The sequence below is a fragment of the Homo sapiens genome, chromosome 8 (assembly GCF_000001405.40).
Source record: "Homo sapiens chromosome 8, GRCh38.p14 Primary Assembly".
In the NCBI taxonomy this organism is placed as follows: Eukaryota; Metazoa; Chordata; class Mammalia; order Primates; family Hominidae; genus Homo; species Homo sapiens.
In genome coordinates, this window is record NC_000008.11 from 114,240,658 (window position 1) to 114,253,676 (window position 13,019).

The 13,019-nt window shown below is 39.8% G+C and overlaps 2 annotated features.

The window, feature by feature from the left end:
* Window positions 838-1,604: an enhancer, noted in NCBI's record as "OCT4-NANOG-H3K27ac hESC enhancer chr8:115253724-115254490 (GRCh37/hg19 assembly coordinates)". NCBI's record gives its function as "activates a minimal SCP1, AML or CMV promoter by ChIP-STARR-seq in primed H9 embryonic stem cells {active_cell/tissue: H9 hESC(primed)}" and the evidence as "EXISTENCE:reporter gene assay evidence [ECO:0000049][PMID:30033119]".
* Window positions 6,012-6,950: an enhancer, noted in NCBI's record as "OCT4-NANOG-H3K27ac hESC enhancer chr8:115258898-115259836 (GRCh37/hg19 assembly coordinates)". NCBI's record gives its function as "activates a minimal SCP1, AML or CMV promoter by ChIP-STARR-seq in naive H9 embryonic stem cells {active_cell/tissue: H9 hESC(naive)}" and the evidence as "EXISTENCE:reporter gene assay evidence [ECO:0000049][PMID:30033119]".

Here is a 13,019-nt window from a genome sequence, read left to right on the forward strand (position 1 = left end):
AGCTAAAGGGAAAAGCGATGGGAGAAGCATGAAGAGCAGTTGACTTTTCCTGGCAAGCATAAGATTATCCTAGGATAATAAAGTATCACACATCAGTTGGAGCTGAGAAAGCATTGCTTGGAAGGGTCCCTTGGCATTGCAGATCTCTCATAGGAAATAGATTTAGTAACCCATGGACCACCCGAGACATGTCATGGACTGGAGGTGAACATCCTGAGTGCTGGTTGTGGGAATTGAGGGTAAAAGACGTCCAACCACTTTGGACTACTATTAGCTGTAATAGACATTGCAGTCAGAATACTAACAAGCAAGGGTATAGGTGTACAGTTCAAACCCAAGAGTTAGCTTGTTGGCCCACAGCACTGAATTTTTTTCCTGGAAGATAGGGACACTAAGATAAATACACCTTGGAGAAATCACTCCCAGTTCCCTAAGAAAAGCATTTCCGGGTGGTAAAATTGGCAGGACTCTGGGATACGACTTGTATCTTACAGCAACAGAGGAAAAAACTTATAATTGCAAGTTTTCTAAAGCAAACAATCTAAGAAAAAGGAGAAAAGGTGGCTTTCATCAGGGAAAATTTGTTTAAAGTTTAGTCAATGTAGGGGAAGTGCTATGGCTGTCTTGGTGATAGTCCACCATATTTTAGTACCCATTTTTCAGAGATGAACACCCAGCTTGCTTCCAACTTTCTACTACCACAAGTAATACTATGTTAAAACATGCACACCCTCCAGTACCGCATGAGGAGTCCTTCAACTTCACATCCCTAATACTTTCCATTACCCAGCTTGCTATTTTTAAAATGATAGCTTATTATTTTTAAAATTTGTACTTATCTGATTACTAACAATTTTAGCATATTTTGGTGTTTACGTTAGCTTTTTGTTCTCTCTTCTTTAAATTACTTTTCATACTTGTTCATTTTATCTCCTATTGGGGTAACTGTCAGGCCTCTGAGCCCAAGCCAAGCCATCGCATCCCCTGTGACTTGCACGTATACGCCCAGATGGCCTGAAGTAACTGAAGAATCACAAAAGAAGTGAATATGACCTGCCCCACCTTAACTGATGACATTCCACCACAAAAGAAGTGTAAATGGCCATTCCTTGCCTCAAGAGATGACATTACCTTGGGAAAGTCCTTTTCCTGGCTCATCCTGGCTCAAAAAGCACCCCCACTGAGCACCTTGCGACCCCCACTCCTGCCCGCCAGAGAACAAACCCCCTTTGACTGTAACTTTCCTTTACCTACCCAAATCCTATAAAACGGCCCCACCCCTATCTCCCTTTGCTGACTCTCTTTTCGGACTCAGCCCACCTGCACCCAGGTGAAATAAACAGCTTTATTGCTCACACAAAGCCTGTTTGGTGGTCTCTTCACACGGACGTGCATGAAATTTGGTGCCGTGACTCGGATCGGGGGACCTCCCTTGGGAGATCAATCCCCTGTCCTCCTGTTCTTTGCTCCATGAGAAAGATGAACCTACGACCTCAGGTCCACAGACCGACCAGCCCAAAGAACATCTCACCAATTTTAAATCAGGTAAGCAGCCTCTTCTTACTCTCTTCTCCAGCCTCTCTCACTGTCCCTCAACCACTTTCTCCTTTCCACTCTTCAATCTCTCCCTTCTCTTAATTTCAATTCCTTTCATTTTCTGGGAGAGACAAAGGAGACACGTTTTATCCATGGACCCAAAACTCCGGCGCCGGTCACGGACTAGGAAGGCAGCCTTCCCTTGGTGTTTAATCATCGCAGGGCCACCTCTCTGATTATTGACCCACGTTTCAAATGTGTCAGACCACGCAGGGATGCCTGCCATGGTCCTTCACCCTTAGCGGCAAGTCCTGCTTTTTTGGGAAAGGGGCAAGTACACCAACCCCTTCTCTCCTTGTCTCTACCCCTCCTCTGCTTTTCTGGGAGAGGGGCAAGTACCCCTCAACCCCTTCTCCTTCACTCCTAGCAGCAAGTCCCGCTTTTCTAGAGGAGGAGCAAGTACCCCAACCTCGTATCTCTGTGCCCCAATCCCTTATTTCCGTGCCCCGACCCCTTATTTCCATGCCCTGACCCCTTATTTCCGTGCCCCGACCCCTTATTTCTGTGCCCCATCCCTTATTTCCACGCCCCGACCTCTTATCTCTGCGCCCCAACCCCTTTTCTGGAAGGTAAGAACCCCCGAACCCCTTCCCTCTGTTTCTCTACTCTCTCTTTTCTCTAGGCTTGCTTCCTTCATTACGGGCAACCTTCCACCCTCCATTCCTCCTTCTACTCCCTTGGCCTGTGTTCTCAAATACTTAAAACCTCTTCAACTCACACCTGACCTAAAACCTAAATGCCTTATTTTCTTCTGCAATGCCGCTTGACCCCAATACAAACTCGACAGTAGTTCCAAATAGCCAGAAAATGGCACTTTGAATTTTTCCTTATCACCTCCCCTCCTCACACCTGGTGCTGCTTACAGTTTCGTTCCGTGACTGGCCCTCTCCCTCCTGCCCAGCAATTTACTCTTAAAAAGGTGGCTGGAGCTAAAGGCATAGTCAAGGTTAATGCTCCTTTTTCTTTATCCCAAATCAGATAGCGTTTAGGCTCTTTTTCATCGAATATAAAAATCCAGCCCAGTTCATGACTTGTTTGGCAGCAACCCCGAGACACTTCACAGCCCTAGACCCTAAAAGGTCAAAAGGCCGTCTTATTCTCAAAATACATTTTATTACCCAATCTGCTCCCGACATTAAATAAAACTCCAAAAATTAAATTCCGGCCCTCAAACCCCACAACAGGATTTAATTAACCTTGCCTTCAAGGTGTACAATAATAGAAAAAAGTTGCAATTCCTTACCTCCACTTTGAGACAAACCCCAGCCACATCTCCAGCACATAAGAACTTCCAAATGCCTCAACTGCAGCAGCCAGGCGTTCCTCCAGAACCTCCTCCCCCAGGAGCTTGCGACACGTGCCGGAAATCTGGCCACTGGGCCAAGGAATGCTGGCAGCCTGGGATTCCTCCTAAGCCGCGTCCCATCTGTGTGGGACCCCATGGAAAATCGGACTGTTCAACTCACCTGGCAGCCACTCCCAGAGCCCCTGGAACTCTGGCCCAAGGCTCTCTGACTGACTCCTTCCCAGATCTTCTCGGCTTAGCGGCTGAAGACTGATGCTGCCCGATCGCCTCAGAAGCCACGTAGACCATCACGGATGCCGAGCTTCAGGTAACTCTCACAGTGGAAGGTAAGTCCGTCCCCTTCTTAATCAATACGGAGCCTACCCACTCCACATTACCTTCTTTTCAAGGGCCTGTTTCCCTTGCCTCCATAACTGTTGTGGGTATTGACGGCCAGGCTTCTAAACCTCTTAAAACTCCCCAACTCTGCTGCCAACTTAGACAACACTCTTTTAAGCACTCCTTTTTAGTTATCCCCACCTGCCCAGTTCCCTTATTAGGCTGAGACACTTTAACTAAATTATCTGCTTCCCTGACTATTCCTGGACTACAGCTATATCTCATTGCCGCCCTTCTTCCCTATCCAAAGCCTCCTTTGCATCCTCCTCTTGTATCCCCCCACCTTAACCCACAAGTATAAGATACCTCTACTCCCTCCTTGGCGACCGATCATGCACCCCTTACCGTCTCATTAAAACCTAATCACCCTTACCCCACGCAACGCCAATATCCCATCCCGCAGCACGCTTTAAAAAGATTAAAGCCTGTTATTACTCGCCTGCTACAGCATGGCCTTTTAAAGCCTATAAACTCTCCTTACAATTCCCCCATTTTACCTGTCCTAAAACCAGACAAGCCTTACAAGTTAGTTCAGGATCTGCGCCTTATCAACCAAATTGTTTTGCCTATCCCCCCCGTGGTGCCAAACCCATATACTCTCCTATCCTCAATACCTGCCTCTACAACCCATTATTCTGTTCTAGATCTCAAACATGCTTTCTTTACTATTCCTTTGCACCCTTAATCCCAGCCTCTCTTTGCTTTCACTTGGACTGACCCTGACACCCATCAAGCTCAGCAAATTACCTAGGCTGTACTGCTGCAAAGCTTCACAGACAGCCCCCATTACTTCAATCAAGCCCAAATTTCATCCTCATCTGTTACCTATCTCGGCATAATTCTCATAAAAACACACATGCTCTCCCTGCCAATCGTGTCCGACTGATCTCTCAAACCCAAGCCCCTTCTACAAAACAACTCCTTTCCTTCCTAGGCATGGTTAGCGTGGTCAGAATTCTTACACATGAGCCAGGACCACAACCTGTAGCCTTTGTGTTCAAACAACTTGACCTTACTGTTTTAGCCTAGCCCTCATGTCTGTGTGCAGCAGCTGCCGCTGCTTTAATACTTTTAGAGGCCCTCAAAATCACAAACTATGCTCAACTCACTCTCTGCAGTTCTCATAACTTCCAAAATCTATTTTCTTCCTCATACCTGATGCATATACTTTCTGCTCCCCGGCTCCTTCAGCTGTACTCACTCTTTGTTGAGTCTCCCACAATTACTGTTGTTCCTGGCCCGCACTTCAATCCGGCCTCCCACATTATTCCTGATACCACACCTGACCCCCATGACTGTATCTCTCTGATCCACCTGACATTCACCCCATTTCCCCAAATTTCCTTCTTTCCTGTTCCTCACCCTGATCACGCTTGATTTATTGATGGCGGTTCCACCAGGCCTAATCGCCACACACCAGCAAAGGCAGGTTATACTATAGTACAAGCCACTAGCCAGCCTCTTAGAACCTCTCATTTCCTTTCCATCGTGGAAATCTATTCTCAAGGAAATAACTTCTTAGTGTTCCATCTGCTATTCTACTACTCCTCAGGGATTATTCAGGCCCCCTCCCTTCCCTACACATCAAGTTCGAGGATTTGCCCCACCCAGGACTGGCAAATTAGCTTTACTCAACATGCCCTGAGTCAGATAACTAAAATACCTCTTAGTCTAGGTAGATACTTTCACTGGATAGGTAGAGGTCTTTCCTACAGGGTCTGAGAAGGCCACCGCAGTCATTTCTTCCCTTCTGTCAGACATAATTCCTCAGTTTAGCCTTCCCACCTCAATATAGTCTGATAACAGACGAGCCTTTATTAGTCAAAACAGCCAAGCAGTTTTTCAGGCTCTTAGTATTCAGTGAAACCTTTATATCCCTTATGGTCCTCCGTCTTCAAGAAAAGTAGAATGGACTAAAGATCTTTAAAAACACACCTCACCAAGCTTAGCCACCAACTTAAAAAGGACTGGACAATACTTTTACCACTTTCCCTTCTCAGAATTCAGGCCTGTCCTCGGAATGCTACAGGGTACAGCCCATTGGAGCTCCTGTATAGATGCTCCTTTTTATTAGGCCCCGGTCTCATTCCAGACACCAGACCAACTTAGACTGTGCCCCTAAAAAACTTGTCTTCCCTGCTATCTTCTGTCTAGTCATACTCCTATTCACCGTTCTCAACTACTCATACATGCCCTGCTCTTGTTTACACTGCTGGTTTACACTGTTTTTCCAAGCCATCACAGCTGATATCTCCTGGTGCTATCCCCAAACTGCCACTCTTAACTCTTGAAGTAAATAAATAATCTTTGCTGGCAGGACTATGCTGAATCTCCTTAGGCACTCTCTAATCAGATATCCTGAGTCGTCCCAATTCTTAGACTTTTTATACCTGTTTTTCTCCTTCTGTTATTCCATTTAGTTTCTCAATTCATCCCAAACCGTATCTAGGCCATCAGCAATCATTCTATAGGACAAATGTTTCTTCTAACAACCCCACAATATCACCCCTTACCACAAGACCTCCCCTCAGCTTAATCTCTCCCACTCTAGGTTCCCACGCTGCCCCAATCCCACTTGAAGCAGCCCTGAGAAACATCGCCCATTCTCTCTCCATACCACCCCCCAAAAATTTTCGCCGCCCCAAAACTTCATCACTATTTTGTTTTATTTTTCTTATTAATATAAGAAGGCAGGAATGTCAGGCCTCTGAGCCCAAGCCAAGCCATCGCATCCCCTGTGACTTGCACATATAGGCCCAGATGGCCTGAAGTAACTGAAGAATCACAAAAGAAGTGAATATGCCCTGCCCCACCTTAACTGATGACATTCCACCACAAAAGAAGTGTAAATGGCCGTTCCTTGCCTTAACTGATGACATTACCTTGTAAAAGTCATTTTACTGGCTCATCCTGGCTCAAAAAGCACCCCCAGTGAGCACCTTGTGACCCCCACTCCTGCCCGCCAGAGAACAACCCCCCTTTGACTGTAATTTTCCTTTACCTACTCAAATCCTATAAAACGGCCCCACCCCTATCTCCCTTTGCTGACTCTCTTTTCGGACTCAGCCCACCTGCACCCAGGTGATTAAAAGCTTTATTGCTCACACAAAACCTGTTTGGTGCTCTCTTCACACAGACGCGTGTGAAAGTAACTTGTCATTGTTATAAATTTGTAACTCCATTTTATTTTGTAATAGGGCCTCACTCTGTTGCCCAAGCTGAAGTGCAGTGGCACAATCACAGCTCACTGCAGCCTTGACCTCCTAGGTTCAAGCAATTTTCCCACCTGAGCCTCCCTAGTAGCTGAGATTACAGGCACATGCCACCACACCTGGTTAAGTTTTTATTCTTATTTTTAATAGAGACAGGGTTTCATCCTGTTGTCCGGGCTGGTCTTGAACTCCTGGGCTGAAGTGATCCTCTCAACTTGGCTTCCTAAAATGCGGAGATTACAGGTGTGAGCCACCACACACAGCCCAGACTGGCGCCTTTGAAATAACAAGTATCTTTCCCATCCTGTTTTGTTTTTCCTGATTTTGTCTGTGGTCTCTATATTGCACAAAAATTATTAACTTTTCTACCATCAAACACAGATAATATATTTGCCTTGACATATTCTTGTAAGGCTTTTATATGAAGTCCCTCCCCACATTTAGGTCACAAAAATATTATTCTACATTTTTTTCTATTAGCTTTATGATATCCCCTTTTATGACTGCTTATTTAATCTATCTAGATGTAATTATTGTGAAAGGAAGATATCTTGGGCCCCCAAAATCACTAAGGAAAACTCAAGCTGGAAGCTGCTTAAGACAAACCTGCCTCATTCTATTCAAAGTTAACCCTCTGCTCACTGAGATAGATGCGTATCTGATTTCCTCCTTTGGAAAGGCTAATCAGAAACTCAAAAGAATTTGTGTCTCACTTATCTGTGACCTGGAAGTTCCCTTCTGCTTCCAGTCTTCCTGCCTTTGCTTCAAGTTGTCCTGCCTTTCCAGACGGAACCAATGTACTTCTTACATATACTGATTGATGTCTCATGTCTCCCTAAAGTATATAAAACCAAGCTGCGCCCTGACCACCTTGGGCTGTCTTCAAGATCATTCTGAGGCTCTCACCGGTACGTCCTTAACCTTGGCAAAATAAACATTCTAAATTAACTGAGACCTGTCTCAGATTTTCTGGGTTCACCGTATATAGTAACATGTAGAAAGTAATCAAAATTTATTTTTCTGTGTATTATGTCACTCATTCTATACTATTACTAAATCAATCTATTTTTATCTTTGTTTTGTGTTTAATTATATGTTAGGTTTACAAATTTCCATTTGTACAGATTTGTCTTTTAGTTCTGTGTATTTTATCACAGTTAATTTGTTTTTTCTTGCTCTGAATCTATATTTGAAATACAATAATTTGTTCTATATTTTAATATCTAGTGGAACATTATTCCTTTTTTTTCCATCTTTTAAGAGTGACTTGGCAATTTTTGGACCTTAAATTTTTCATATAAATTTCAGAGTAAGTTTAAAGTGTCTCTCAAAAAAAGTAATGTCTCTTTGCCTGTCTTTCACAACGTTGATACTCTTCAAAGAATACTGATTAATTATTTTATAAAATGTTTCTCAATTCACCTCATAATTGGAGTTAGGTTCTGCATTTTTAGCAGGAATACCAAATTAAAAATATTATGTTTTCACTGCATCATACTAAGAAGTTTATGATACTAAGTTGTCTTATTATTGATTATGTTTATCTTAATCATTTGGTTGACTTACTATCTTCTAGATTTCAACACCGTAAATTTATTATTTTTCTCATTGTAAGTGATCAGTATCTTCCGTGAAATACTTTTAGACTATATAATTTCTGGCTTCCTCTAATTTCTAGCCACTAATTTTAGCATCCAGTGGTGGATATTTTTAAATACATTTACTACTATGAAATTTTTCTAGTGATGATAATTTTCTGTTGTTGGCAATGGTACCATATTTATGTAAGATGTTAACATTTGTGAAGTGAGGTAAACAGTTTAAGGTCTTTGTACTATTGTTGCAACTTTTCCGAAGTCTAAAACCTTCCCTAAAATAAATATGAAATTTATATACTGAGCTGATCATTATAAAACATCTACATGCATTGAAACATCACACTGTACTCCATAAGAATGTGCCATTATTATGTAGCAATTATAAATAAAATTAATTTTAAAACAGTAAAAAAAAGTGATTTTATTTGGAATTATATTGAATTCACAGGTTAATTTTTTTGTTAATTTGAGGACAAATAATATCATAACTTAGCTGCCAACCAACACCTATCCAGTAGTATGACCTGACCACCTTTTATGAGTAAAGTGTTTCATGAATAAGAACATGATACATTTTGCCCAATGTTTCTTCCTTGTAAATGAAGTGAGAATTTAGTTTTAAAAATCTTATTTAATAATATAGAAATTATTGGTGACCTTTCTAAGAGAAGTTTTAGTAGAGAAATAGGATTAAAGACCAACAAGAATGCATCAAATAGAAAATAGGGGGAGAATTATTGAAGGCAGCACACACAGACAATTATTTCAAGAACACTTCGTGGAAACACAAAGAGGGTTACAGATCAGTGGCTGGAAAGATGGATGGATGTAAGGCTTTTGTTTTCATTTTTGTTTATCACAGAAAATCTACAGCATCCTCTTAAACTGTTGATATCATCCAGTAGGTCATGATCATTTGATAGAGAGGAATAATTTGATAAGGAGTATAAAGGGCAGAAATAGTGGAAGCAATTTTTTAAGGGTATAAGAAAATAAGAGAGGGCTCACATACTTGAGGCTCAATGCCAGTGAGTAATTATGATGGTTCTTGACAAAATTTAAGCTGGAACATAGGAAGTTAGAACATGAAAGCCTTTGGGGACAGCGAAAAAAAGGTAAGATCAATTGCATAATAAATCCCATTAAAGTCAAAGGAATGTGGCAATTGGAGTATTAAAGGGAAAGAGCTTTACATGTCTCTTGAGTTTTATTTATTGTTTTATGTCCCCAATCATATGAATTAATCCACTGCCCAGAAATGTAGAATCAACTGCAATTAGGTCAAGTTTTAAATAGCAACTTCCTTTCAAGATATAACATTCATATTTATTCTACAAAGTCAGCCTTGTCACTAGATGATAGATATGAAGAAAGCTAGACAAATAAATAGATAGAATTTATAGATGATATGTACCACATATGAGAACACCTGTATTTAAAATATTGCAGGAAAAGCCCTACTTTTTCTTAACTTTCAACTTATCTCTATATCTTTTGTCTAGGTTTTCTATTATGAAAGCAAACATGATTTATGTCATTACAGATTATTATCATTTGACCAAGGTTTTTTTCTTCTCTATTTCAGAATAGAACTAAAATTCATTTAATACACACACACAAACACACATCTTGCAAGATATAGTTTCTCATGTAATGTAAATTCACTGGGAATCATTCAAAAACACCTGTTTTTACTCTGTACTGTCACAGTTATAATCTCATATCTCTGGCATTGTTATCACTGCCTTGCATTTTAATTATTTACTTAGATGTCTTTTCATTACCCTCTTACTCTTTTGCATGGCATAGATTATATCTTAAAGTTTATTACCCCAGATTTAAACCAATACAGGTAGGTGCTGAATATATATATACACACACATATACACACACACACATATATATGCAGACTTGCTATACAAATACATATATAAGTAATATGAATAACATAAATGAGGAGAAAAAGTGAACCCAAGAAATATCCTGAAGAAATATTCTAAAAATATGAAGTATATTATACTTTTAGAACAAAAAGGTGTGATGAACTAAGGATGGCCTTTTTGCTTACTAAATGAATCAGCTTTATTAAAGATTCAGGTAGTATAGTTTTACAACAGTCTGCATGAACTCCGCTAAGTCTTTCATTATTTGGAAAAGTATCAAATTGGCAATTTAGTTGATCTGTTAGGCACATAACAACTTGGGGGAAAACAACAACAAAGGAATTTGCTTTACAAAGTATGTAATAATGATCGGTAATGTTTAAACAGTGTATCAAATCATGCTGTGATAATAGAGTCATTTTTGGTCTCTGATAGTCCTTATGCTGTTTCATTCCTAAGGCGAGATAGTGTTATTTAAAGTTAACCTTGTTACTCTGAATTTCCAGGATCCTGTCTCATGTTAAAGACGTTTTTCCGAAAACAGGCCAGAAAATCTAAAATGTATACAAAGAAAAGCAATATGTGCCTGAGTAGAATATAGACTTAGTACTAGTGTAGACCTGAAAGAAAATCTTATTCCACAGTATATTGAAGATCCTAACTCGCAGGCCATTCAGTTTCTATCTTAAGGAGAAATAAAGTGGAGAAACATCAAAATCATATTTATTTTGAAAAAGCTAAATATCTACATGTTTCACCGATTGTATAAATATATACAATCTAAAGATATTAAATTATAATTATATTTTACTGCAAATCTACTATGACCAAGTAAATAAGATTTCTCACCTTTCAGGAGAAATATATGAGTATGAATTTTATTTTCAAATTAATACAAATAATGAAACTGTGACTTAGATTGATTTAAATCAGTGGTACTTGGATACCTTTTCACTCTTTATACATTGAACTTTAAGGTGTTTTGTAAATACACACACACAATACTCCATGTCTTAAACTTTTCTTAATCTGGAAGTCCAAAGTTTGCTTCTTGTTGTTTATTTTTGTCAGGCTCAATCTCACATCTTAAATTCTAGTAAGAAAAATTACAAATACTAATATGTTTCACACTGTCATCTACTTAAAATGATTGTCTGCTACCATTATTTATTTTTTATTTATTTGTTTTTTTTTTGAGACAGAGTCTCGCTCTGTCGCCCAGGCTGGAGTGTAGTGGTGCAATCTCCGCTCACTGCAAGCTCCGCCTCTCGGGTTCATGCCATTCTCCTGCCTCAGCCTCCCTAGTAGCTGGGACTACAGGCGCCCGCCACCATGCTGGGTTAATTTTTTGTATTTTTAGTAGAGACAGGGTTTCACCGTGTTAGCCAGGATGGTCTCGATCTCCTGACCTCGTGATCCGCCCGCCTTGGCCTCCCAAAGTGCTGGGATTACAGGTGTGAGCCACCGCGCCCGACCAATTTTTTAAACCCAATTAGTCTTGTATGCTGTAGCTGCAGGGTGAATTTCTAAGACATTTATCCTGCTTTTACTTTGAGCCACTCTCATAATAGTGTTTGCTTCTACATCATTGTTATTACTGAGTGGCATTTCAACTGTCCACTGACATATCTCCACATGCTCCTCCCAACCTTATTAAAGGTAAAGACTGCATCTTACTATTTGTAACAGCATTTAGTGCTCTATTGGATTTCTGGCAGGTTTTGAATATATATTTAGTGGAGGAATACATTAGTGAATGGCATGCATGAATGGAGTGAACCCAAGAAATATGCAAAAGTACTAAAAATAACATAACATGTCATACTTGTGAAGTGTTACAGTGCAGTGAACTAAAGACCTGTTTTTGGCCTGATGTTTGTTTTTCTCAGTGGAAAAAAAAAGTTATGGTTTCTTTCAGATCTAAAATATGGGAATGTAAAGGGGCTATAAGTCAACTTTATAGAAAGGAAAGAGAAAATTGAAGCAGAATGATACTGGTGAGATTTCTAAAACTTCTTCAGAGTCATCTGGGAGCTTGGTTGAATCAAATTTCATGACAAGGAAAGAAATGTGATGTAACTTTTTTTCTTATAGTATAAAGGTGCTTCTGTGTCATTAGGCATAGAAATCAAAGGGCCTGGTGAATAGCGTAGCCAACAAAATAATCTGTGTAAACAAAGAATCATTTAAGAATATGAAATTTAAAAAATATATATAACAATACAGAAAGTGTTAAGAAACATAGGTAAGGAAAATAAGTTGTTTTAATAGCCAAAAGCAGCTTCCATTTAGTAACTGCTAAAGAAAAAGCCCATCAGTTTAGGAGCTCTCTTTTCCTGACCACTCCTGTGGAACCACCTGCCACATGGCTCACTAAGGAGTAGCTAGCTGTCCACATGGGAATGTGTTGCTTGATTTGGTAAAGATTTCTTGTAATGTTAATTAAGTCAATTTTATTGTCCCTTAGTTCTCTTGCCAAATTCACTCTTGGCAAAATAATACAGGAGGATATTAAATGCAGGCTAAAGTTTTTATTGATCTTTCCAAAAATTACATGAAACAGTGGTAAGCATTTTTATTTTGTCTACTGTCAAAGCGAGGCATGATTCTGAGAAGCAATGTATTATTCAAATTATTTTAAATTTTCAATTACTTGCAGTACAAATGTTCTCAACAGTGATAATAGTAGGGTGGGATTATGCCTGTGATAAAGGAATGATCAATAAAGCCTGTAATAGATGTATGCTCAGCGCCAAAGAAAGGCATCTACATCAGATGGAAGATGTTGGTAGAGATGATAGATCAAATCATTGATTAAGCAACATTGTCAACACTAGACACAATTCTAAACCATAAAACTGACATAGGGACTTATAAAGAAAAGAATAACAGCATAAGATGAATCTCTTACTAGTTACTTTGCCTTAATCAGACACTTTTGACTTTTTTAAACAATGCCAATAATTCATATGCTGCCTCAAGATCTTGGCATTTAAGGTTTCATCTTTCTGGAATGCTCTTTCCCAAGATAGAGGCATGAAATTAT